Source organism: Homo sapiens, chromosome 9, assembly GCF_000001405.40.
Source record: "Homo sapiens chromosome 9, GRCh38.p14 Primary Assembly".
Classification (NCBI taxonomy): domain Eukaryota; kingdom Metazoa; phylum Chordata; class Mammalia; order Primates; family Hominidae; genus Homo; species Homo sapiens.
The window spans coordinates 113,585,204-113,609,893 of NC_000009.12; the positions used below are offsets into that span (position 1 = coordinate 113,585,204).

The 24,690-nt window shown below is 52.2% G+C and overlaps 1 protein-coding gene across 12 annotated transcripts in view, besides 6 other annotated features; it reads left to right on the forward strand.

The window, feature by feature from the left end:
• The window catches only part of RGS3 (regulator of G protein signaling 3), a 153,009-nt gene extending 140,474 nt beyond the window's left edge, over nt 1-12,535 (forward strand). For 9 of the 12 annotated variants that reach the window (NM_144488.8, NM_001282923.2, NM_001394167.1 and 6 more), the window contains 5 exons: nt 6,130-6,194; nt 9,227-9,328; nt 9,716-9,777; nt 10,396-10,562; nt 11,565-12,535. In NM_144488.8, the coding sequence (NP_652759.4) occupies nt 6,130-6,194; nt 9,227-9,328; nt 9,716-9,777; nt 10,396-10,562; nt 11,565-11,750 (582 nt within the window). In that variant the 3' untranslated portion in view covers nt 11,751-12,535. Of the gene's footprint in view, nt 1-6,129; nt 6,195-8,925; nt 9,136-9,226; nt 9,329-9,715; nt 9,778-10,395; nt 10,563-11,564 lie in introns of those variants that run through there. The other 3 variants (NM_144489.4, NM_001276262.2, NM_134427.3) reach the window with 3 other exon arrangements.
• Nucleotides 1,590-2,367: an enhancer, noted in NCBI's record as "H3K27ac-H3K4me1 hESC enhancer chr9:116349073-116349850 (GRCh37/hg19 assembly coordinates)". NCBI's record gives its function as "activates a minimal SCP1, AML or CMV promoter by ChIP-STARR-seq in primed H9 embryonic stem cells {active_cell/tissue: H9 hESC(primed)}" and the evidence as "EXISTENCE:reporter gene assay evidence [ECO:0000049][PMID:30033119]".
• Nucleotides 3,764-4,265: an enhancer, noted in NCBI's record as "H3K4me1 hESC enhancer chr9:116351247-116351748 (GRCh37/hg19 assembly coordinates)". NCBI's record gives its function as "activates a minimal SCP1, AML or CMV promoter by ChIP-STARR-seq in primed H9 embryonic stem cells {active_cell/tissue: H9 hESC(primed)}" and the evidence as "EXISTENCE:reporter gene assay evidence [ECO:0000049][PMID:30033119]".
• Nucleotides 4,266-4,765: an enhancer, noted in NCBI's record as "H3K4me1 hESC enhancer chr9:116351749-116352248 (GRCh37/hg19 assembly coordinates)". NCBI's record gives its function as "activates a minimal SCP1, AML or CMV promoter by ChIP-STARR-seq in primed H9 embryonic stem cells {active_cell/tissue: H9 hESC(primed)}" and the evidence as "EXISTENCE:reporter gene assay evidence [ECO:0000049][PMID:30033119]".
• Nucleotides 13,713-13,879: a silencer, noted in NCBI's record as "fragment chr9:116361196-116361362 (GRCh37/hg19 assembly coordinates)". NCBI's record gives its function as "represses an EF-1alpha promoter that drives an FKBP-Casp9 reporter gene in an ReSE screen in phorbol 12-myristate 13-acetate-treated (for megakaryocytic differentiation) K562 erythroleukemia cells {active_cell/tissue: K562(+PMA)}" and the evidence as "EXISTENCE:reporter gene assay evidence [ECO:0000049][PMID:32094911]".
• Nucleotides 14,206-15,129: an enhancer, noted in NCBI's record as "H3K27ac-H3K4me1 hESC enhancer chr9:116361689-116362612 (GRCh37/hg19 assembly coordinates)". NCBI's record gives its function as "activates a minimal SCP1, AML or CMV promoter by ChIP-STARR-seq in naive H9 embryonic stem cells {active_cell/tissue: H9 hESC(naive)}" and the evidence as "EXISTENCE:reporter gene assay evidence [ECO:0000049][PMID:30033119]".
• Nucleotides 17,030-17,109: a silencer, noted in NCBI's record as "silent region_20206". NCBI's record gives its function as "represses an Ori minimal core promoter by ATAC-STARR-seq in GM12878 lymphoblastoid cells {active_cell/tissue: GM12878}" and the evidence as "EXISTENCE:reporter gene assay evidence [ECO:0000049][PMID:35858748]".

The window sequence follows — 24,690 nt, forward strand, 5'->3', positions numbered from 1 at the left end:
GATTGCGCCATGATCTTGAAGCCTACCAGCTAGTTTGGGTCTGGGCTCTGTTTCTTACTATGTGGCTTTGGTTGAGTCACTCAACTCCTCTGAGCCATAGTTTTCTTCTCTGAAAAGTAGGGGTTAATAGCACTCACATCCCAGAATGGTTGAGGATGAATGGAAGAGGCTGGTGCCTGATAACACTAGCCGCTTGAGAGGCGGCCCTCAGGGAATGCTGGGCCCCACTCCTTCTCTTGAAATGCAACAGCCAGTGCAAGGTGTTGGTGTGAGGCTAGGTGAGTAGGGGTGCTCAGTGCCCATGGAGCACAACTGACTCAGAGATCTAGAACTTCAGGAGGACAGACCCCAGGGCCTAAAGCCATCAGGGAAAGCTTCTGGAGGAAGATACCTCTCAGCTTGGCCTTGAAGGATGAACAGGATTAGAATAAACAGAGAGGTAGAGGCAAGCATTCTTTGGCTAGAGCAGAGCATTCCTAAAGGGCAGATGCCTGGCACAGGTGCTGCTATTCCTCCCTCCAACCCATGGCAGACATCATTAATGGATTCCAGCATACTTCCTCACCAAGTTGGGACATGTCCTCAGAAGCCTGCTTAGCTTCTTAGCCACTAGCAAGAAGGCAGACTTACCTTCTGGGGAGATGCCTTCTGCTGAAAGCTAGTCATTCTGACAGGGCAGGCTGGGGCCCTCCAGAAAAGGGTCTTGAACTTTGGCCTTGGAACTAAATCTCCGTTTCCTCATCTGTAAGCGTGTGTGGTTCTCACACTGTGGTGTGCTCCGGAATCACCAAGGGGAGGTAATTAATATGTGATTCCTAGTCCCCATACCCAGAACTCTGGAATCAGAATCTCTAGGGGTGGTGCCCAGACCCTATATTTTAAACATGCCCCGAGGGATCATGATCTTGCCAAAGTTTGAATATCACCATCTTAGGCCATTTCTTGATGGTTTCTACAGGAGAGAGTCCGGAACGCTGTCCTTCCAAGGCAAGGCCTCAGGCTCATTCAGATCAGGCCTGGCCACTCCTCTTTGGAGGGCGGTTGAGGCCCACCTGCCTTGGGCTTCCCAATCCTGATTCCCCCACTACACCCTTCCCAGTTCTATTCCCCTCACCACACTTGCTCCAATAAAACTATTTATATACAGATAAATTCACACACATTCATATGTATGCATTTATCTAATTCCCCAGCTCAGTTGACCTCGGCTCCTATTTTGGGACACATACTCCTGCCTGGGAGTCTAGCAGGCCTGGACCAGCTCTCTCTTGTCTCAGCTTCCTCCTTTGGGTGCCCAAGGTTCCCACTGGCACCCTCCCCTGTCCCACCAACTTTTAGCCGGTCACTTCCTTTCTTGGGTTTGAGTGGCTGAGCTGGCAGAGACATCAGAGGCTGCCCCCAGCCTGGTGGTGGCCACCCTTCCATGTGGCTTCCACACACCAGTTCCTGAGCCCTTTGCCATTCACATCCTGCCCTCTTCCACCAGTAGCTTCAGTAGGAAACTTGTCAAGAGGAGATGAAGCCCCGGATGGGACAAACACCGTGGTCTAGCTCCATCTCTTACTGGTACTGGGCCTTGGGCAAGTCCCTGCCCCTCTGTGAGCCACAGTTTCCTCCTTGGTGAAATGGGTATGGTAATAATGCCTCCTTCCTAGGGTTGCTGGGAAAATTAAATAGCTTAACACAGGTAAAACATTTAGGGCAGTACCTGGCGCTCAGCACCTGGTGGGTGCTGCATAAATGGTAATCATGTTATGTGGAGGGGGAGGGGGAGAAGAGCAGTAACCAGGGTAGTACTGGCTGTGCCGCCATTCGAAGTACCACCAGACCCCATTTCTCACCTTCCTGACACTGCTGCAAAGTGGACAGGCACTTGGCTTACAGTGGGAGGCTGAGGCTAGTGAGAGATATTTTGTCCCCAGCCACACAGCAGCAAGTGATGATGGCACTGGACAAGGCCTCACCATTGTCTAGTCAGTCCTCTGTGGCTCTGCCCTAGACTCTGAGACCTCATGCTGATGAGGGGCCGGGGGTGGGGGACTGGCAGAGGGACAGTGGCAGGTTCCCCCATGACTTCTATCTTCCTGGCTTTGGCCTGGCTCTTCTGGGAGGGTCCCCTGATGCTGATGGGCCACTATTCCTAGGCAATGCCAGGCAAGAGGTGAAGAGGGGAGGGGTGAAGTGTTCAGGCTGTGGAGTCAGACAGACCCAGGTTCAAGTCTCAGCTCTGCCTCCTCCTCCCTGGCTCTGAGACCTTGGCCAAGTTGCTTCTTTCTCTGAGCTTCGGTTTTCTCTTATTAATGGAACACGGAGTCCCCCGGGAGTTGTCCCAAGGGTTCCAGGGCGCAGTACGTAGAAAGCTTGGGCTGGTCATTTGTGCTGCTGTGCGGATAAGCTGAGGCTGCCCAGAGTACATGCTGCCTGCCACAGGGTGACATTCAGTCTCGACGTTGTCTCCGGTCCACACCCCTGTTATCCTGCCCTCTTATGTGCTGAGCAATTTCTACTGTGAGTAGGAATGTCAGAACAGGCAGACCTCAGAGATAGTCTGCTCGACCATGGTGATCTCACAGATGGGCTGACTGAGTCCAGAGAGGGAGAGCCCCCTGCCCCCACTCCCCGCCATGGTTCTCCAGCTGGCCATCCCCTGGGTGTGGCGCCCTGTGCTGAGTTGAGTGGTCTCATGGTGCCCCCTGCCGCCAGACCCCTGCCTTCCTGGCTGCTCCCTGGAGGCCCTGCAGAGCAGATCACAGGCCTTCTTCCTGGGGAGTCAAGGAAGCCCCGGAGAATAATTGTGTTTGGGTCCAGGATGCTGCCATTGAATTCTAGTCCAGCCTATCTGGCTCAGCACAGAGGGTCATGGGCTATTCTTTGACAGTGAGGAGACCACAGGCTGCAGCCCTTCCCTGGCCCTGCTTCCTTCCTCCCCTGCAGGGGACTGGCCTGGGCAGAGGTGGTCCACAGAGGGTGCCAGCCCTGTTTCACTAAGCTCCCACGTAGGTCAGAGATCAGACGAGAGGACCCCAAAAATGCCTTCCAGCTCCAAGACGATAATACCTTCAAGCCTCCTATTTTTAAAAAGCCTAAAGAATTATTTCGGATGTGTAAACAAGTAAGTATAGAGTTTAAATCCACTGTTTCCACGTGGTTCCATGGGGCCTGCCAGCCTGGGCTGGATCGGAGAGGGCAGCCATGGATGGCCAGGGAGCCCCAGAAGTCCGACCAGGACCAATAGGGAAACCAGCTGAGCCCTGCTCACAGACGAGCGCTCAGTCACTAGTGGGCTCTGGACCCAGACCACAGTTCTCTGCTACTTGTTAGTTCAGAGAGCCCAGGCCAGTTATCAAACTGCCCTGGGCATCTGTTTCCTCAGCTGCACACTGAGGGGAAATATCAGTAACTAGCTCTTAGAATCGTTGCCAAGATTAAATGAGATAAAGTATGTTAAAACACTTTGGCCCGGCACCTGACATGTAGTGAACGCTCAATAAATAATGGCAAAACCCATGCTAGCTGAGAGTACTTGCTCACTGCTGTGTGTTGGGCGCTGTGCTGAGCACGTCCCCGTGTTAACTTACATAATCCTCACCACAGCCCTTTGAGGGAAGTCCGGTTATTACCCGCATTTTACAAATAAGGAAACTGAGGCACAGAGAGGGATGTAACTGAGCTAAGGTCAATGAGCTAATAAATGATTGAGCTAAGCTTCAAATCCAGGCAATTAAAAATCTACACTCTTAATCATTACTATAATTACAGTTATAATTACAGTAAGAATTATAATTATTGTTCCAAGAGGTGGTGAGCTCCTAGTCCCTGGAGGTGGCTGGATGAGGCTGGGCAGGGCCCAGGGATTCTGCCTGGAGTGAAGGAAGGGCTGTATGGTCCTGGACTCACCTCCATCTGCTTTTCAGCTGGACAAGGTCACATAGTGAGACAGTGGGGAGAAGATGGAAAGGAGAATCCCTTTGGAGGGCCTTTGCAGACTAGGCCCTGGGCAGGCATTGATGCAGCTGTGGGAGGGGAGGGAAGAGTCTGAGGAGCCACTCTGGCCCCCTCCAAGGTCAGAGGCCAAAGCCTCCCTGCAGCTATGGTGAGTCCCTAGGGCTGGGAATCAGAACCCGATTTTTTCACCTCAATTTCTCCTTGGCTCACAGGCTCTTTTTGGTGCTGGGGTTTCCCCAGCAGCCCAGGGGGCTGACTCCTAGGGCCAGAGCTGCCCAGCCCCTCTGTCAGGCTGCTAGGCTTGGGTCAGTCCCTGCTGAAGACACTCTCCTCCCCACAGTGGAAGGAAGAGCCCATTTCCCAGCAGCGCAGAGGCTGAGGATGGCGGCTGGGTGGGAGTGGTCCCCAGGCCCATTGTGTGGAGCCGATAAAGTACGGAAGCTGAGGTTAGAATGGGAGGAAGCCCAGGGCCCGAGGGCTCTTTCCCACGGGTGGGGGCCTTGGGCATGGCCTTGCCAGGCCAGCATGAGTGCAGCCTGTATGTGCACTGAAGGGTGCCCTGAATGGTGACAGTGGTAACACTCACTGGGCAATGACCACTGGTTACTGAGGTTAGCGTGGGTGCCAGGACTGGGCCTTGGGGTCCAGAGTTTATCCTGGTGAACCTTCCATCAGCCCTGTGAAGTGGCTGTCACTATGCCTAAGCCATAGCTAAAAAAATGGAAGCCGAGAGGCTAGGAAACTTACCCAAAGTTGGTGAAAGCAGGATTTATATCCAGGTCTGGTTCCAAACACTTGCTCTGAAATCACACACCATACGGTGTGTGCCTCTGTGTGCACGTACACACATGTATGTTTACAACTCTGGTGGGGCAGCATTCTCAGGAAGGAGGCAGCACTTCCCGAGTCTTTCACAGGAAACATTAAAATGTGTTCTGACCTTGCATTTTTGAGTAGCAGCATCCTCTGGTGGAGAAACACAGGCCTTGAATTGAGGCAGATTCCAGCTCTGTCACTTACATGCTGGGTCTCCTTGGGGAAGTGACTTAAATTCTCTGAGCCTCTATTTACTTTATAGGTTTATTGTGAGGTTTAATGAGATAGTATCTGAATTATGCCCCATCCAGGGTCTGGCCTATAGTATGAGCTAAATGAAGGTGTAATTCATCCATCCATCCACTCATCCACTCCTTCATCCATCCACCCACCCACCCACCCATCCATCTATTCACCCATGCATTCATCTACCATCCACCCACCCACCCACCCATCCATCTATTCACCCATGCATTCATATATCCATCCACTCATCCATCCATCCACCCATCCATCCATCTATCCACCCACCCACCCATATATTCATCCATCCATCCATCCATCCACTCATCTATCCATCCACCTATCCACATATCCATCCATCCATCCATCCATCCATCCATCCATCCATCCATCCATGCAGGTGGGAGACTCACAAAAGCATCCCCCGAGGAAGGAATTGCACATGGAGATGAAGACCTTCTGTTGGTTGGAAGGCAGAGTTGAGGAGGTTGCTGAAGTAGGGGCCAGGCTGGAGAGATAACTGAAGGAATAACTGAATGGAACTTTCTGCCCTGATCCTAAGATGGTAGATCCAGTCGTGTTACGGAGTTTGAATGTTATCCCGAGGGCACTAGGGAGCCATGGAAAGCTATAAGGCAAGAGAGGTGCACTCAGGCCTGTGTAATGATTTATTTTATACACTGCTGACCATCTCAGGTCTCCTTTGAACTTCAGAATCCTGACTTAATCATTATGATCCTGATTTTAGAAATTAAGGAATAGAGGCTTAGAGAGGGGCAGGGATTGGCCTAGTGACACAGCAGAAGCCCTGCCCTCTCACCTGCTCACTGCCTGCAATGAAGCCTCTGTCCTGAGTGCCAGCCGTCTGGCTTCTCCCCAGTGAGCTGGGGACCTGACTGTCCCAGGAGGAGATCCCTGTGGCCGGAGAGTCTGCCAGGCCGATTCCACTTCATGGCCAGGCTGTTCCCAGCAGTGGGGTTTCCCTCCCTCACCTGTGTGCCGCGGGTGGGGGCTTTGGGGATGGAAGGGGCTGGTGGCAGGGAATGTTGGGTCTCTGAGCCTCTGTTTACTTAGGCAGGAGTTCCTGGGTGCCCAGACTGCATCGTGTCTGTCTTCTCTCCGCAGATGAGCGGGGCTGACACCGTTGGGGATGATGACGAAGCCTCCCGGAAGAGAAAGAGCAAAAACCTGTACGTTGGGAAGATCCCTGGCTTCTGCGCTCCTCTTCCTCCCTTGCCCCAGGGCTTGTCTCTCCTCTAGGGGTCCAGGTGGGGAGAAGAGGTTGTGCCTGGTCCCGCCCACAACCCCAGACAGACACCAAGGAAAAACTGGATCTTGGAACTTTGCAGTGACCCCAAAGTGGGGTCACCTGGGTCCTGAGCATTCTCTCCAAGTGAGGCAAAGTGCTGATTCAGTACCCGGAAGCCACAGTGAACCAGAAGCAACCAGCCCGTTTGCCCTGGCTTTAGCCCAGCTTCTGAGCCAAGCAGGGACCAAGTGACTTCAACAACTCCTTTGCTCCCTCTGGGCCCAAGAGTGACCTGAGAAGGGGTGGAACTGACAGTCATTGGCTCCTCTTTCTCTTCCTGAGCTCCTGAATGCTAATAGTCTCAGGCATTGCCAGGAGGGGGCGCTGCTGGCCCAGCTGCCGAATCCCGCACTCGCCAAGCCTTTCTGGCCACACTCAGGCCTTCTTATACTATAGGGTGTTTGTTAGAGGTGTCAATGAAAAAGATGTGTGTGTGGGTTCTCAGGTCTTCTTCTACCCCCAGGCCTAAGACCCTGGAGACTCGGGGGAGGTATAGGGAGGAGGCAGTGGGGTGCATGCACAGTGACACCTCCAGAGGAAGCCCCTCCCCACCAGGTCCTGTAGCACCCACCACTAGGCAGGAATTGGGCTATAGGGAGGAGCCTCCTGCAACCCTCTTCTCTGGCCTTGACCGTGGGTGGGGTCCACTACCCTAGAAAGCCTTCCTCACCCCAGCTGCCTTGACCTCTCCAGCTTTCTGCAGCAACTGTTGGCTTCTCTTACTCCACAGCCAATTGCATTTTCTTAGCAAGGTGAAATGCATAAACCAAAACAGTCCCTTGCACCAACCATCTTCACTTAACCTTTTGTAGGATGAGAGAGGATCCAGGGGGTGCCAGGACTGTTGAATGTGGTGCTGGAAGTGGGAGGTGTAGGGAAGCAGTGTGTGGCGCAGAGGGCAGGCATCCCGGGTGCTGGAGCAGCCCTGTCTAGCCTCCTTTCAATGTAGGTGCTGCCTTTTGAATTGCCTGAAGCCCACACTTTTTTTTTTTGGAGACAGAGTCTCCTTCTGTCACCCAGGCTGGAGTGCGATCTTGGCTTGCTGCAACCTCCGCCTCCCAAGTTCAAGCAGTTCTTGTCCCTCAGCCTCCCAAGTAGCTGCGATTACAGGTGTGTGCCATCACACCCAGCAAATTTTTTTTGTACTTTTAGTAGAGATGGGGGTTTTGCCATGTTGGCCAGGCTGTTCTCAAACTCCTGGCCTCAAGTGATCTTCCCGCCTCGGCCTCCCAAAGTGCTGGGATTACAGACATGAGCCACCATGCCTGGCCTCTGAAGGTCATACTCTTAAAAGCTTAGACGAAGAGTCTTAGAACATCTACGGTAATAATAAGAATAACCATTAATGTTTATTATGCCCCGCACTGTTCTGTGTGTATTTCATATGTAATCTAATTTAATCTTTACCACTACTTTTATTTTCCGTTCTGTTCTTTCTTATTGACCTTACCCTTATTTTACACGTGAATAAACTACTGTGCAAAGAGGCTAAGTTACATGGCAAGAAAGTGGTGGGGTTGGGACCTGGAGACCTGGCCTGCTGGCTTCTGTTTGAGGAAACAGCTTGACAGAGAAAAAACCTTGATAGGAAACTTGAGAGATCAGGAAACGTGTCAAAGGGCACACAGCTGGTAACTGCTGGAGCTGGGATTTGAACCCAAGACTAGCTCCAGAGCCTGGGATCAGCCTCCCCTGCAGGACTCTCCTTCATTAGACAGGGTGTCTAGGTCTTAGTGCCATTTTAAGCTTGAATAGCATCAGAAGTATAAATGCTTCAAACTTACCAAACCCCCTTGAAAGTTTAATTATTAAATTTCTTTTGCACGTCTTTAGTTATGTGATTTTTGAATAATCAATTTTTCATTTTCATTTTTGGTTTGAGTCAGCATTTTCCATCTTTGGGAGGATGGAGACCAAAACTTAAAGTGAAACATTTATTATTCGAAAATCACAAAACCATGCACACAACATTAAATAATTAAACTTTAAAATGGTGTTTTTGTAAGTTTATAGGACTTGTACTTCTGAAGTTATTCAGGCTTAAAACTACTAAGATGTTGGGGTCCTGCTGTATATTCATGACTGGATGTCGCCAATGCAGGTGACTGAGGCTGAGAGGCCGGCTGGCAGGAGCCATTCTCTGGGAGGTGCCCTGTACAGGGGGTCTAGGGAAAAGAGGGGCGAACATGAGCAAGAGGCATTTAACTCCTTTCTTGCCAGCAGTTTCACCCAGTGCTGAATTCTGCTGCCTCCTTGGGGACCGGCAAGGCTAAAAATGGTTCTTGGCTAAAAATAGCCAGTCCTGCCACCCCGGTGGTGGGCAGTGCCTCCCCTGGCTCCCTCCTTCCCTTTCAGCAATTTGCTGACTTGTCCCCCACCCCCCACCACTGTCTCCCTGCTGCCATGGTAACGAGGAGGCCAGTCACAAATAGCTGGGACTGGCTTCCTGCCGGGGCGGCCCCAGAGGCTGTCCCTTGCAGACACATGCCCCTTTCACGGCTCCCTCTCAGGGTTGGCCAGAAGGAATTTTTTTTTCCGCTCCCCCTCCTGGTCCCTCCCATTTCCTGGCTCCTCCTGTCTGAGTCCCAGCCCCGGCTTGTGCCTGGGAGTCCAGTCATCAGGCCAGGATTCCAGAGAGCGTGTGTGGCTGCAGCCTGCACCGTTGCTGCCCGCTGCCCAGGACGCGGGGTGGGGGACAGGAGCCAGAGTGGTGCCTCCTACAGACCAATCTGCGGCCCCAAGGTGGGGGGCCCTACAGAGATGCTCCGAGGCATGTACCTCACTCGCAACGGGAACCTGCAGAGGCGACACACGATGAAGGAGTAGGTGCCCTCGACCCAGCTCTCCCGACTCTGGATTTGCAGGGGCGAGTGGGCCAGGCTGAGCAACCCTCTTTTCTGCTTCTGTCCCCAGAGCCAAGGACATGAAGAACAAGCTGGGGATCTTCAGACGGCGGAATGAGTCCCCTGGAGCCCCTCCCGCGGGCAAGGCAGACAAAATGATGAAGTCATTCAAGTAGGTCCTCCCTGGCACCCTGGGACCCTTTGGGGAACTCACTGGCTCCCCGGGGAGTAGGACTGAGTGGTAGGGTTGAGGGGAAGGGGCTTGCCGGCTTGATCCAGCTCTGGGGGAGACAGGCTTTCACAGAGGGAGCTGGGTACCTGGCAAGCAGCTACCCTCACAGGGAGCAGCTGCCCTAGGGGGAAGGCTAGGTGGGGTGGAGATGGGGGCTGGAAGGGACCCTGGCCCCGGGAAAGAGGGTGGGCCTCCTTCCTGGGCGCCCCAGCTGGGCTCAGCTGCAGACTGGGCCCAGGGCAGTAAACAAAGGCCGCCTGGCCCAGCTTCCCCCAAGGTTCCCAAGCCTCTCAGTGCCCTCACTGTGTTTCCTCCCTCACCCCTCAGGCCCACCTCAGAGGAAGCCCTCAAGTGGGGCGAGTCCTTGGAGAAGCTGCTGGTTCACAAATGTAAGTTGGGCCTGCCTGCCCACTCCCTGTGCCCTCTCTCCCTCTCCCCTTCGCCCCCATCCAGACCCTGTGTAGCTGGTGCTAGAGAGGCCGCCTTCCCTCTCCTCGGCCGTCAGGGTGTCCTTGCTGTTGCGGAGGGGCTGAGCCCAAGCTGAGGCCCTTGGTCTGGCCTTGGAGCCAGCTTCTGCCAGCCCCTCCCCGTCCATGTGAGCTGGCACTGCCTGCCGGAGGCCCGTGGGACCTGTGTGCTCAGATCCATATTCCCAGAATAAGAATAAACATTTCTACGTACTGAGGGCTTTCACGGCGCCAAATGTGCCTGCCATCTCATGGGCAGGGTCCCATCGGCTCCTCCCAGGGCTCCGGGAGACAGAATCGATAGTCCCCATTTCACAGATGAAGACACTGAGGCATAGAGAGGGGGAGACCCCACTGAGACCCTGAAAGAGGCAGTGGCAGGGCTGGGGCCACATCCCAGGGCTCCTGGCTGTCGGGGACGGGCATTGTACTCAGCTCCCAGCACGCCCATCTTTAAAGTCCTGTAGGGGTAAGCTGAGGCATCTTAAGGGCAGGAGAGGCTGAGTTTGCCTCTTACCCCAGGATCCGTTCTCCTCACAGACGGGTTAGCAGTGTTCCAAGCCTTCCTTCGCACTGAGTTCAGTGAGGAGAATCTGGAGTTCTGGTTGGCTTGTGAGGACTTCAAGAAGGTCAAGTCACAGTCCAAGATGGCATCCAAGGCCAAGAAGATCTTTGCTGAATACATCGCGATCCAGGCATGCAAGGAGGTAGGACCTCAGGGCAGACCCTCCGCTCCTCCAATCCCCAGGGCCCAGTGGCCCTTCAGCTGCAAGGTGGCAGCCAGCAGCACAGGAAGGGGAGAGGCCAGAATGACTCCATGAGCCCAGGTACCCAGCAGGGAAGATGCAAGCTAGGATCAGGGGAAGAACAGAATCCCAGTTAGTAATAAAAATGGCCACCACCAAGGCACTGCCGCATGCCAGGCATGTGCTGAGCCCTTTATGTATGCGTTCTCATGTTTAATCCACACAACAACCTGTGAAACGAAGAGACAGGCTGGGCACAGTGGCTCATGCCTGTAATCCCAGCACTTTGGGAAGCCGAGCCAGGCGGATCACTTGAGGTCAGGAGTTCGAGACCAGCCTGGCCAACAGGGCGAAACCCCATCTCTACTAAAATTACAAAATTAGCCAGGTGTGGTGATGGGCGCCTGTGGTCCCAGCTACTCGGGAGGCTGAGGCAGGATAATCGCTTGAACCCGGGAGGCGGAGGTTGCAGTGAGCCGAGATCGCACCACTGCACTCCAGCCTGAGTGACAGAGACAAATCATAATTGCTCCCATCTATTGAGTGCCTACTGTGTGCCAGGCACTATGCGCAAAGCACATTATATGGATGATCTTGCTTGGTTTTCACGCTTTGAGGAATGTACTATTATTCCTAGCTGGTAGATAAGACAACTGAAGCTCACCGCACTTAAGTAATTTGCTTCAAGTCACACACCCAGGTGTGGCACTGCTAGGATTTGAACCCAGGAAGCCTAACCCTCAGGGTGGTATTTTCAGCCTTATAAATGCTGCCAGCCCTACAGGAAATGACTGAGCCAGGACTTGAATCCTCTGGTCTGAGGGTCTCTACTTCAGATGAACCTTAAGATGTGGGGCAAAGGGGCTTGGAGGTGAGAGGCTGGATGGGTCCCTTCCAGGCACATGGGCCCTAGGGTCAGTCCCCAGCAGGCAGCCCTGACCATGTCCCCCTCTGCCTCCCCAGGTCAACCTGGACTCCTACACGCGGGAGCACACCAAGGACAACCTGCAGAGCGTCACGCGGGGCTGCTTCGACCTGGCACAGAAGCGCATCTTCGGGCTCATGGAAAAGGACTCGTACCCTCGCTTTCTCCGTTCTGACCTCTACCTGGACCTTATTAACCAGAAGAAGATGAGTCCCCCGCTTTAGGGGCCACTGGAGTCGAGCTCAGCGTTCACACCAGGCGGGCTGGGTCCCCTGCCCACCTGCCTCCCTGCCCCCTGTGACGGAGGGGGCAAGCAAGCCCCCAGAGGCTGTGTCTCTGGACAGACGGATAGACATACGGAAGCGAGGCCTGGACCAAGAGAGGCCCAGGCTACTGGAGGAGTAGAAGGATGGGCCCCGTGGGGTCCCCACTGCCCCGGTACGAGGGGGCCCAAGACCCTGGCAGGTCAGGGGCCCTGGCCAAGCCAGATCTGGAGCTGCTGCTCCCTGCTGCGGAGACCGCGGAGGCTTCGCGTTGACCAAGTTCCTTAAAGAACTGGCTGATGGGGCAGGAGGTCCAGGCCTGGGCTCTCGGGCCCTCCTAGAGGGCCATTGGAGCTTGCAGCTCAGACCCCCACTTTGAGTTTTATTTATTTAAATAGTAGTTGGATGCTTGGCACGTCGTCCTGTAATAGGAAACCCTTGCCTCATCAGTTTTCCTGATTTACAAGTGCAATATTTTAGCCAATGCCTTGGGAGAAGCTGCCATGCAAAGGTGGACACCATTCTCCAGCTTCAGGGGATATGCTCGTCCCGGGCACCGGTGGCAGGCAGCTGGCCTTCTGGACTAAGGCAGCCTGGGGGGACACTGCAGTCTGGCTACACACAGAGATCTGGCACCCCCTGGGTGGAGTGTCCCTCGGGGGCTTTGGGAAAGCATGGCACCCTCAGACCACACAGTAGCCAAGTTCTGGAGCAAATAAAAGGCCTGTGTTATTTCTTGTTCTTGACCCTTTTTGTGTGTTCCTGGTCTTGAGCCTTCCCAGGGTGGCTGGGGCTGGGAGGGTTGGTCGTTGGGCTGTTGATTCAGCCACTGCTCTCTTGCCATCACCTGCCCCCATCCTGGAGCCCGATACACTGATACACTGGTGAGGGCTGCTCTCCCATGCCTTCCTCTGTGCCAGGCACTGTGCCACTCATCCTAGTGGTCACTGCATCTCCTCCCCAAGCCTGGGAGGTAGGGCTTATCCCCATTTTACAGATGAGGAGATGGAAGCACAGACAGGGAAGGTCACGTAGCCAGCAGGTGGCAGGGGTTCAGCCCAAGTCTGACTGTCTGCAAAGCCTGGGCTCTGCCGGCTACAGGATGGAGTCCTTGCTTATCGCCAGCTGGCCACATGTCTTTCAGCAAGTTCCTTCAATTCTCTGCCTCGCCACACCCTGAGGTTTGAATAGAACTTTCACGTGGTGCAGGGATGGCTGGTGAAGGTAGACGGGGCCAGAATCTCAGGAAGGGTGGTGGTGGGCTTATGGAGGCCTCTGGGCAGAAGGAACAGCTGTGGAGACAGGAGATAGGACTCACAGAGTCTTTCTGTGGCCCTGGGTAAGGCTTTCCCCACTGTGCCTTTGTTTCCCCTCCTACCTAACAGAAGATGCGAGTTTAGGAAAGGCCCAGGGCATCCTTCAAGGGAGGACCTGGGCCACTTGCCTAGAAGTGGGCAGAAGAGGCCCAGAGTCCAGGCCAAGCTGAAGGCAAAGCTGACCCCACATATATAACCTCCCAGGGGCCAGGGCATGGCCCAGGGTGGGGTCTGGCTCAGCAGGGCTGTCTTAGATTAAGCTAGATGGAGTTGATGCAGGAGGAGCTGGGCCCCGTCTCCTTGGATCTTGTTCCCTGCCTGGGGTCCTGCAGACTTGGAGCTGCAGACGACATGGGGCTGTACAGCTCCCTCCTCCCTGCCTCCCCTTACTCATCTCCCTGGGCAAGGCCAGCCCTGTTGGCCCCTCTGCACAGTGAGAGGATCAGAATTGTTGGTCTCTGGAGGCCTTCAGGGAGTTGGACTGAGCCCTCTTCAGGGTTACAGGGGACTAGAGCCAGGGCCTGGGTGTGGAGCAGAAGCTGAGCAGGGCTTCATCAGGAGGAAGAGGTGGGCTGTCTGACTGCCGCTCTGACCACACCTGACTTTTCCTGCCCCGCTTGCAAATGGGACCCCTAATGCTTGCTCACCCTTGAAACCCATTTGGAAGAATCTTCTGTGCAACAACAGTAGCCTAGGTCAGCAGAGAACCCCCTTCCCTCTGCTCCCCGGCAGCCGTGGCCTCTCCTTGACTAGCCCGTACTGAGTCAGGCATGGGTTTTTCTGTCTCCAAAGGCTTTGGAATCAGGCAATCCTGGGTTTGAGTCTTGTCTTTGCTACTGACTTGCTCTGTAACCTTGGCAAGTCACTGCCCATCCCTGAGCCTGCAAAAATGGGGATGATTCTATTGTCTTCTCAGTGCTGGGATGAACAGCCAGTGAGCCAGTTCTGCAGAAAGGTCCTAACCTGGGGCCAGGTATACCGTAGGTGCTTGATACATGTTGGCACCAGAGGGTGAGCCCCTCCAGGAGTGGTGCTGGGTCTTTCTCCAGGACCTGGCAATGAGTGTCATTGGGCTTTATAAACTGTGAAGAGCTTTCCCACTGTAGAGATTCAGTGTCTCACAGAGGCTGGAAGGGCCTGGGAAGAGTCGTGCTTCTAATTCTGAACAAGGGCACCTTCCAGGTTTTTTCCAGGCCTGAGATTTGGGGACCTGACAGCTGGGAAAACTGGGGCCCAGGGAAGACTATAATACTACTCCCTACTCCCCCAAAATGGTAGAGGCAGTACTGGGTCTGAGCCCAGGACTTCCCTGCCTGACCTGGCCTCTCTCGCATCTTCTGCTGGGAGGAGCCACTGGGTCCACAAGGAGACCCACCTTTCCAGTTCTTTATATTCTAGGGATTCAGTTTAGGGCCAGGCCTTCCCTCTTCCACCTTCCCAACCTCCTGGTTCCCAGAGTTGCCATGGAAACCAAAGTCCGGGAGAACAAAGTCAGGCAGATGGAATTCCCATTTCGGAAGGCCCCACTGCCTGGTTTCCATTACTCACACCCTGGTTCCCTTGGCCTCCGAGTGGCTTTGGCTGTGCAGAGCAGCTGGAGGGCAGACTAGAAAGGCGTCTGGGTCCCCCTGCCCTGGGCCCTGCCTGGGCTCCCTGGAGGACCTTGGGTACATTCTCTGCCCGCTTAGGCCTCAGTTGCCTCATCTGTACAGTGTCATTTGGGCTGGTTCCCATTTTCTTTCACAGGAGAGGAAGGAGCAGTGCTCTCTAGTCTCTGGCAATTCCAGGCGGTCAACGTGGGATCACAGAGCTGTGATGTCATTTCAACCAGCTCCTCCCCATCCCACAGATGGGAAGACTGAGGGGAGGGAAGGGAAGCAGCACTCTTCACTGTAGAGCTGAAGGGCCTTGGAGTCAGGCTCTGGGGCTCAGTCTCTGGCTCCACCATTTACTAATGGCTGCAAACCTTTGAAGAAGTCATGTACCCTCTCCTTCCCTCCGCTTTCTCATCTATAAATTGTGCGCATTGGCACTTACCCCAGAGTTGCAATGACTAAGCGAGGTCGTGCATGCAACAAGTTTAGTTCAGTGCATGGCGTGGGGTAGGTGCTTCATAACCGTGAGCTGCTGTTAGCGATCTCATTATTCAAGGTCACAGGTCACATTCTCCACTTGCCCAGGCCTGAGAAGATGGGGGGGGCCTTTGGTCTCAGACCCCAGATCCTTGTCCTTCCAGGAACAGTTTTGCTGGAGGACAAAGCCAGCCAATTCCAGGGAGTAAGTGAGAAACAGCCTGTTCCCGTACTGCTGCCCAGTCTTGGCCCTGCTGGGAGCAGTTGGGGTCAGCTGGCAAATAGGTTGTGGTGGGTGGAGAGGCAAGAGGGCACAGCAGTGCCACTCAGTTGGATGCCAGCAGGAGGGGGTGCCACTCAGTTGGATGATAGCTGCCGAGGTGCCAACTGCAGCCAGGCTCCTGGTGGGAGAGTCAAGTCCCTCATGCTCTCGGCCTCTGCCATGTGAGTGACGTGCTCTCTTGACCTGTCTTGGGCCAGCTATGACCTCCCAGACTCTCCAGCTTGGAAGAGACCATTGAGTCTAAACTGCTGCCCAGCACTTAGGACCCCAGAGTTTCTGCTTGATTCCTTCCATGATGGAGCTCAGGAGGGCCTGGGAGCCCCTTGGGGGTTCCAAAGTTCTCTCCATCTGAAGTCGGGTCCTGGGGCAGGGTGGGGAAGGAGGGATAGGTTAGTCCTACCCCTGCAGGTCTCCTGCCCAGGCAGCCACCTCTGGACCCACCAGATTCTCCAGCTTCACTCCTCCCTGCTCCTCTCGCTTGCACCAAACTCTCAGCTCCCCACCCTACCTCCCTGCCTCTGCACCCCCTTGTCCCTTAACCTACTGTCCCCTCCCCAAACTCTTCCCACTGACATCCCACCCCTGAAGGCCTCTCTGCTTCACCTCCCTTCCTGCCCAAACCTCAGGCTCCTGGCGACTCCTCCACAGCCCCACCGCTCCCTCAGAGCTCTCAGGCCCTCAAGCAATGGACCTGACAGGGGTCTCAAAGAAGCCACCTGTTGGTTGTTGTTTTGCTAACAACTGGCAACATTTGTGGAACATCTGGCTTTGCCTGTCCTCTCCCTAGCCAGGGAAGGGAGGAGGAAAGTGGTGCCCCCTTCCTTGGGTGGGAGGAGGCAGTGGGGGATTGAGGAACAGCTGTGGGACTGATCCCATCTGCCGGGTACAGAAGAGAGTGGAGGCATGGCTGGGGGTGGGGAGGGCAGTGCCAGGTGGCAGGTAGATATAGGAGCCAGGACCACGCAGAGGCACACACCACGCATTCCATGCCTCATTGCCATCGATCCTCACAAAGCCCTGGGAGGAAGGGCTGAGTATTATTTTCAGTTTACAAATGAGAAAATTAGGGTTCAGAGAAAGTGGACAGCCCATCATGGCTGAACAGGGATGGGGACCTCTATCCCTGACTTCCAGGCAGCCTCAGCCAGGGCTTTCCAAAAGAATCCACACCTGCAGCCAGTCTGTGAGACTTAGTGGTTCAGCTGGAGTTGCAGATGGGGGCTTTTGATGCTGGTTCTCTTTGGCTTGTGGGCAGAATTTTTCTAAGGAAGTCCGAGGAATAGGTGAGTTTATGAATGTGCGGATGTCCGGTCCTGCAAGGAATCTCAGTTCTCAGAACTGTGTGACAAGTTGCTTTACCTCTCCGAGCCTCTGTTGTTTTAACTATGAAATGGGAATAATAATTCCACCTCCTGGGACTCGCGTGGACTTGGCAGGTTTACGAATATGTGTGAACCCTCAGCACAAGGCCAGGCACAGAGGGAGTGTGCCCTGCGGGGCAGAGGGAGGGAGGCTGGTCCAGGAGGCACTGTCGGGCCAAGCCCCAACCAGCTGTGCAGGAGGAAGCTGCCCCCGCATCTGCTCCAAGGCAGTGACTCAATGACACGACATGGGCAGGGCCCCAAGGGGGCGGGGTTTGGGCCCTAGGTTCCACATGGGCTCAGCGGGGTCCTGCCTGCCTGCTGTTTCAAAGGCAACCAAATAGCATCTGCCTCATCAGGTAGCTGGCCTGGCAGTCAGGAGTTCTGGGCTTTGAGCTCAGATCTGTCCCAAACCTCTGTGTGACCCTGGATGAGGCCCCTCTCTGCTCTGGTCCTTGGCTTCTTCTCTTGACACACAAGGAGAATCCAGCTTTTCCTCCTGCGTGAGGACCTTCGGAAGGGGCAGATGGTGCTCTGTGGGGGTGTGGGGGGCTGGGATCCAGGCCAAGCTGCCTCTGTACGCGGCGGGGTGTGTGTGCACGTGCGTGCGTATGCACAAGTGTATGTGAGCTGTGTATTCGAGTTGCTAGGGCTCTTTTTAGCTGCTTCCCAGGGGACTGGAAGGCCTACTTGGATGGAGCAGTCTGTTTATCAAGGAGCTCCACAGTCTACAGGGTTCATGCCCCTGGGGACACTGCCCTCTGTGTCCTCCAGCCAGGCTGGGGACCTGATCTGCTGGTTTTTCACAAGCTCCTGCCCTTGAGGCAAAGTCCATCCCCACTTTTTACCCCCAGCACACACAAACACAGCACCTGCTGGAGCCACCCCTCTCAGGGGATTCAGCTCAGTTTGCTATCCCCAGGGAGATATAAAAAAGAAGGGCCTGAACAAGGCACAGCCGATGCCCGCCCCCAGACTGGAGGGGAATACAGCCTCCAGTCTGGGAATATAAGTCCAGTTCCACTGCCGATCTGTCTGTGGCAAGTCCCTTTCCTCGCTGGGCCTCACTTTCCCCATCTTAAAAATGGGTGGGGCGTGTTCAAAGTGCTCTCTAGGAGCCATCCGACTCTGATGCCTCAGGCTGTATAGCTTTTCCTTCTGAGGTGCTATTGCAGCAGGAACTGGCTTGCTCTCGAGTTCTGTCCATTCCAAGGAAGGGGAGGGTGGTAACTGGGGGCTTGGGCTTTGGAGGCTGACAGACCTGGGCTTGAGTCCAGGTTCAGATGATTCTTTATTGCGTGACCTTCGGCAAGTCGCTTAACCTCTCTGGGCCACTGTTTCCACATTTATAAAGAGTTAAAGAGATTATAACCAGTTAATAATAGGTGTTACCTAGTACAGTTGTTGTGATCAAATAAAAGCAGGGGTGAACTATTTGCATTCAGCCCTGCTGGTCTGCCTTCTGGTCCTCGAATGCACCACGCTTCCTTCCATTTGGGGCCTTTCACGTGCAGTCCTCCCTCCCTGGAACACTCTTTCCCCTGCTCCCTTAGTTAATGACGATGAGGAGGAGGAGGATGAGGATGATAGCTAACATTTAATATTTTCCAGGCACTGTGCTAAGTACTTGACTGACATTTTCTTTTTTTATGCTCCCCAAAATCCTGGGAGTTAAGAGCTATTATTATTAATCACTACAGCCTAGTGCCCCGAGGCCAGGCCTGAGGACAGATTGCTCAGGGGAACTCCCAGCTCTTCCACTTAGTTGTGTAAACTCGGGCAACTTACTTCACTTTCTGGGTCTCAGTTTACCCAGTACTCAGTATCAGGCTGGGCTTGCTCTGAAGCCTGTGCTCTTGAGTAGTAGGCTGTATTCCTCCCCCTCTTCTCCAGAGCTTGGTTTAGATGTCACTGCCTCAGGGAAGCCTTCCCTGATAACCCTGACTATAAGAGGGCCCCTGCTGACTGCTCCCAAAGCCTCCTGCTCCTCCTCTTTCATGGCTCTTGTCACAGGTTGTAATTACACACACGCATATGTTCATTCATCGCTGTCTCTTCCTTTCAAGCTTAAGCCCCTTGGGGCAGGAACCCTGTCCGTCTTCTCACTGTATCCCCAGGCTTATCAATCACAGTGCCTGGCGCATGGTAGGTGCTTAATAAATACTTATTTATTGGATAAAAGGCCATATATTGCTTAGCATGGTGGGTTGCACAGGACAAGCCCATGAACAAAAAGTCTGGATAAGAAGCCACTGCATGAGTAAAGATTGAGTTCTGTTGTAAGTGACAAAAACACAAGGTAGAAGTTTCTCTCTCTCCCATAAAGGAAACTCAGGTAGAAGCAGCCTAGTGCTGGCATGGCCTTTTCGTGATCATCAGGAACCCTGATTTTGTCTGTTACTTTGCCGTCCTCAAAATGTAGCTTCCACTTCCTGTCCAAGATGGCTGCTTGAGCTCCAGCCATCACGCAAGGCTGGAGGCCAAGAAAGAGGGGGTAAAAGGTAAATTGCAGTTATGTCTTAGAGAAGGTGCTCAGAAACTGTCACATGACACTTTCCCTTACACCCCATTGGCCAGAACTGAGCACATGGCCACACTTGTTTAGAAGGAGGCTGGGAGCAGTGGCTCACACCTGTAATCCCAACACTTTGGGAGGCCGAGGTGGGAGGATCACCTGAGGCCAGGAGTTTGAGGCCAGCCTCACTAGGAGCCTCACTATGGATAACATAGTGAGACCCTGTCTCTACAAAAAATAAAAAACTCAGCCAGGCATGGTAGTGAACTCAGGAGGTTGAGACGGGAGAAACCCTTGAGCCCAGGAGTTCAAGACTGCAGTGAGCTATGATGGTGCCACTGCACTCAAGCCTGGGTGACATAGTGAGACCCTGTCTCTGAAAATAAATAAGTAAATAAATGAGAAGAGGGAAAGCTGAGAAATGTAGTGTTAATCTAGACAGCCATGTGACCAGATAAAAATCAGAGGTTCTGTTACTCTGGGGTAATACAAAGGCTGAGCAGATGTTGGGGACGACTAGCTGTCTCCGCCACTGTCATCAATGACAGACATCCATTCTCGTAAGGCTATGGAGAGGAAGTGGGGCAAGTGGGCATGTGTCAGTTAACTATTGATACAACAGTGCTGCAAAACAAACCACCCCAGGCCGGGCGCAGTGGCTCACGCCTGTAATCCCAACACTTTGGGAGGCCGAGGAGGGGGCGGATCACTAGAAGTCAGGAGTTAAACACCAGCCTGGCCAACATGGTGAAACCCTGTCTCTACTAAAATATAAAAATTAGCCAGGTGTGGTGGCACACGCCTGTAATCCCAGCTACATGGGAGGCTGAGGCTTGAACCCAGGAGGTGGAGGTTGCAGTGAGCCAAGATTGCGCCACTGCACTCCAGCCTGGGCGACAAAGCAAGATTTCATCTCAAAAATAAGTAAATAAGATAAATAAATAAATAAATAAAACCCACCCCAAAATACACTGGCCTCAAATAACAATAACTTATTCTCTCTTATGCTTCTGTAGTCAACCGACCTAGGAAGAGCTGGGTGGGACATGACCCCTCCCTGTGGGCTGGGCTCAGAACTACTCACTGTAACTTTTCCTGGAGGCAGAAGGGTCAGGGTCTACCTGGGGAAAGTTCTCACTGCAGTGAAAGCACGTGTGTGTTTTTTAAACTTTTAAAGTTTAAAATAATTATATATTCACAGGAAATTGCAAAGATAGTATAGCGAGGTCTCATGTACCCTTCACCTAGTGTGCCCCAATGAACACATCTTACATAATTATAGTACAATATCAAAAATTGAAATTGACATTGGGACAATACGTATGTACAGTTCTATGTCATTTTATCACCTGCAGATTTGTATAAACACCACCGCAATCAAGACATGGAACTATTCCATCACCACAAAGACCTCCCTCGATACCCTTTTATAGGTACACCCATTCCCCACCCCTAACCCCTCGCAACCACTAATCTGTTCTCCATCTATGTAATTTTGTCATTTCAAGAATGTGATATAAATGGAATTGTACAGTATGTGACCTTTTAAGATTGTCTTTTTTCACTCAGTATAACGTCCTTGAGCTTCATCCAAGATGTTGTGGGTATCCTATTTATGTTGCGTTCAATCCTATTTATTGCTGAGTAACATTCTGTGGTATGGATGTACAACCGTTCGTTTAGCCATTTGCCTCTTGAGGGACATTTTGGTCATTTCCAGTTTGGGGCTGTTACATATAAAGCTGCTGTGAACTGTTGTGGAGAGAGTTTTGTGTGGATGTAACTTCTCATTTCACTGGGATAAATGACCAGGAGTGCAATTGCTGGGTTGTACAGTAAGTATAGGTTTAGTTTTTAAGAAACTGCCAACTATCTTCCAGAGTAGCTGTACCATGAGAGATCCAATGTTTCTGCATTCTTGCCAGCATTTAATGTTGCCCCAGTGTTTTATTTTAGCTGTTCTAACAGATAACGTGGTGATTTTCATCCGGGTCTTAATTTGCATTTTCCTAATGGCTGGTGATACTGAACATCTTTTCATGTGCTATTTGCCATCTGTATATCCTCATTGGTGAAATGTCTTTCCATGTCTTCTGCCCATTTTCTAATTAGATTGTTTGCTTTTTTTACTGTTGAGTTTTGAGAGCGCATACAGTCTATGTATGAATGCTTTGTCAGATATACGATTTGCGAATAATGTGCTCAGTCTGTAGCTTGTCTTTTCATCCTTCTAACGGTGTCTTTTGCAGAGCAAAAGTTTTGACTGTTGATGAAGTACAATTTGTCCTTTTTAAAAAATGGATCATGCTTTCCTTGTTGTCTAAGAGCTTTCCACTAAGCCCTAGGAGCTGTACAGGTAGTGGGGCTGTTACATATAAAGCTGCTATGAAGTATTGTAGAGAGAGTTTTGTGGGGACATAACTTTTCATTTCTCTGGGATAAATGACCCAGGAGCGCAATTGCTGGGTTGTACAGGAAAATCCTGAAGATTTTCTCCTATGTTTTCTTCTGAACGTTGTATTGTTTCACATTTAAATCTTTGATCTAGTTTGAGCTAATTCTCATACGATGTGAGGTTTAGGTTGAGGTTCTTTTTTTTTTTTTTTTTGCCTAAGGATAGCCAATGGCAGCCGGGCGCAGTGGCACATGTCTGTGATCCCAGCACTTTGGGAGGCCGAGGCAAGTGGATCACCTGACGTCAGGAGTTTGAGACCAGCCTGGCCAAAATGGTGACACTCTGTCTCTACTAAAAATACAAAAATTAGCCAGGCATGGTGGTGGGTGCCTGTAATCCCAGATACTCAGGAGGCTGAGGCAGGAGAACAGCTTGAACCTGGAAGGCGGAGGTTGCAGTGAGCCGAGATCACGCCATTGCACTCCAACCTGGGCAGCGAGAGTGAAACTCTGTCTCAAAAAAATAAAAAATAAAAAAGGATAGCCAATGGCTTCAGCACCATCTGCTGAAAAGACTATCATTCTTTTGCTGAATTGCTTTTGTTAAAAAACAGCTTTAGGCCGGGCGCGGTGGCTCACGCCTGTAATCCCAGCACTTTGGGAGGCCGAGGCGATCAAGACCATCCTGGCTAACAAGGTGAAACCCCGTCTCTACTAAAAATACAAAAAAATTAGCCGGGCGCGGTGGCGGGCGCCTGTAGTCCCAGCTACTCGGGAGGCTGAGGCAGGAGAATGGTGTGAACCCGGGAAGCGGAGCTTGCAGTGAGCCGAGATTGCGCCACTGCAGTCCGCAGTCCGGCCTGGGCGACAGAGCGAGACTCCGTCTCAAAAAAAAGAAAACAAAACAAAAAAAAAAAACCAGCTTTATTGAGGTATAAGCACATATGGGACAATTCACCTCTTTCAAGGTTACAATTCAGTGGTTTTTAGCCTATTCTCAGAGTTGTACAATCATTATCACAATCAATTTTAGAACATTTTCATCAGCCCATAAAACAACACGATACCTATTAGCAGTCACTGCCTCCCATATACCTCACCCTCCCAGCCCTGGACTACCACTAATCTACTTTCTGCCTCCACAGATTTGCCTGTTGTAGACCTTTCATGTAAATGGAATCACACGATATGTGGTCCTTTGCAAATGGCTTCTTTCACTTAGCATAATGTTTTCAAGGTTCACCGTGTTGTGGCGTGTATCGGTACTTAGTTTCTTTTTATTGCCTAATAATATTCTGTTGTGTATACCACATTTTATATACCACAGAATAGACCACATTTTATTTATCCATTCATCAGTTGATGGACATTCGGGTCATTTCTACTTTTTGTCGATTATGAATAATGTTGCTATGAATAGGCATGTACCAAGTTCTTTGGGGGACACACGTTTCCAATTTTCTTGGGTATTTACCTAGATGTACAGCTGCTGAGACATAAACAAGCTCTATGTGTAACTTTTTGAGGAAATGCCAAACTTTGCCATTTACATGTCTACCAGCAGGGTGTGAGGAGTCTGATTTCTACACATCTTCACCAACACTTACTATGATTTTTTGTTGTTGTTGAGACAAGAGTTTTACTCCTGTCCCTCTTGCCGGAGTGCAAATGGTGTGATTTTGGCTCACTGCAGCCTCTGCCTCCCCAGCTCAAGTGATTCTCCTGCCTCGGCCTCCTGAGTAGCTGGGATTACAGGTGCCCGCCACCATGCCCAGCTAATTTTTGTACTTTTTGTAGAGACAGGGTTTCACCATCTTGACCAGGCTGGTCTCAAACTCCTGAGATCAAGCAGTCAGCCCACCTTGGCCTCCCAAAGTGCTGGGATTACAGGTGTGAGCCACTGCACCCGGAAGTATGAAGTCTTTTTTATTACAGCCATCCCAGTGGGTGTGAAGTTTTGCACCTTTGTCAAAAATCAGTTGGTCATACCCTGTGGGTCTATGTCTAGGTTCTCTGTTCCAATGATCTGTGTTTCTATCTCTCTGCCAGTGCCACACAGTCTTGGTTACTGTACTATATGATGTCTTAAAATCAGGTAGAGTGGGCCGGGCATTGTGGCTCATGCCTGTAATCCCTGCACTTTGGGAGGTCAAGGTGGGCTGATCACTTGAGGTCAGGAGTTCAAGACCAGCCTGGCCAACATGGTGAGACTCCCGTCTCTACTAAAAAAAAATACAAACATTAGCCAGGCAAGGTGGCGGGCGCCTGTAATCCCAGCTACTCGGGAGGCTGAGGTAGGAGAATCATTTGAACCCGGGAGGTGGAGGTTGCGGTGAGCTGAGATCCTGCCACTGTGCTGCAGCCTGGGCAACACAGCGAGACTCTGTCTCAGCAAAAATAAATAAATAAATAAATAAATAAATAAATAAATAAATCAGGCAGAGTGAGTCTTCCCATTTTATTCTTTTTTTTTTTTTTTTGTAAAGTCTTGCCAGGCATTCAGGGTCCTTCTGGAGTGAGCCTGGGCCTCCCCTTGAAGACACCCCCTCCTGCTCTGCCAAATAGCCCTCCTGCAGCCTCTCATTATCACACCTAGCCTCCTCCTCATCCCTTGCTTCTGCTGTCGCTGCCACCTGGGATACCTTCACTGTCTCTGTTTGCCTCGCCAATTCCAGCCTGTTCTTCCAGCCTGTTCTCCCAATCCTTGGCAGGCTGAGACCCGCCCCACCTCTGAACCCTGAACTCCCTCTGAAAATCTGTGCCAAGGCTCTGTCCCTGGGAGAATCGTAGCAGCTCTTGAATTTTCCATTAAATATTTTGCGGGTGTGAGTTTGGGCTCTCCAGTCAGGGTGATCTGGCAGTTGGCCAAGCTGGCCTTCACCCAGAGTAGTGACCAGGAAGATCGCGGGCACCTCTTGACCCCCAGACTGAGAGAAGCAGCTGGACCCAAACACCCGGTG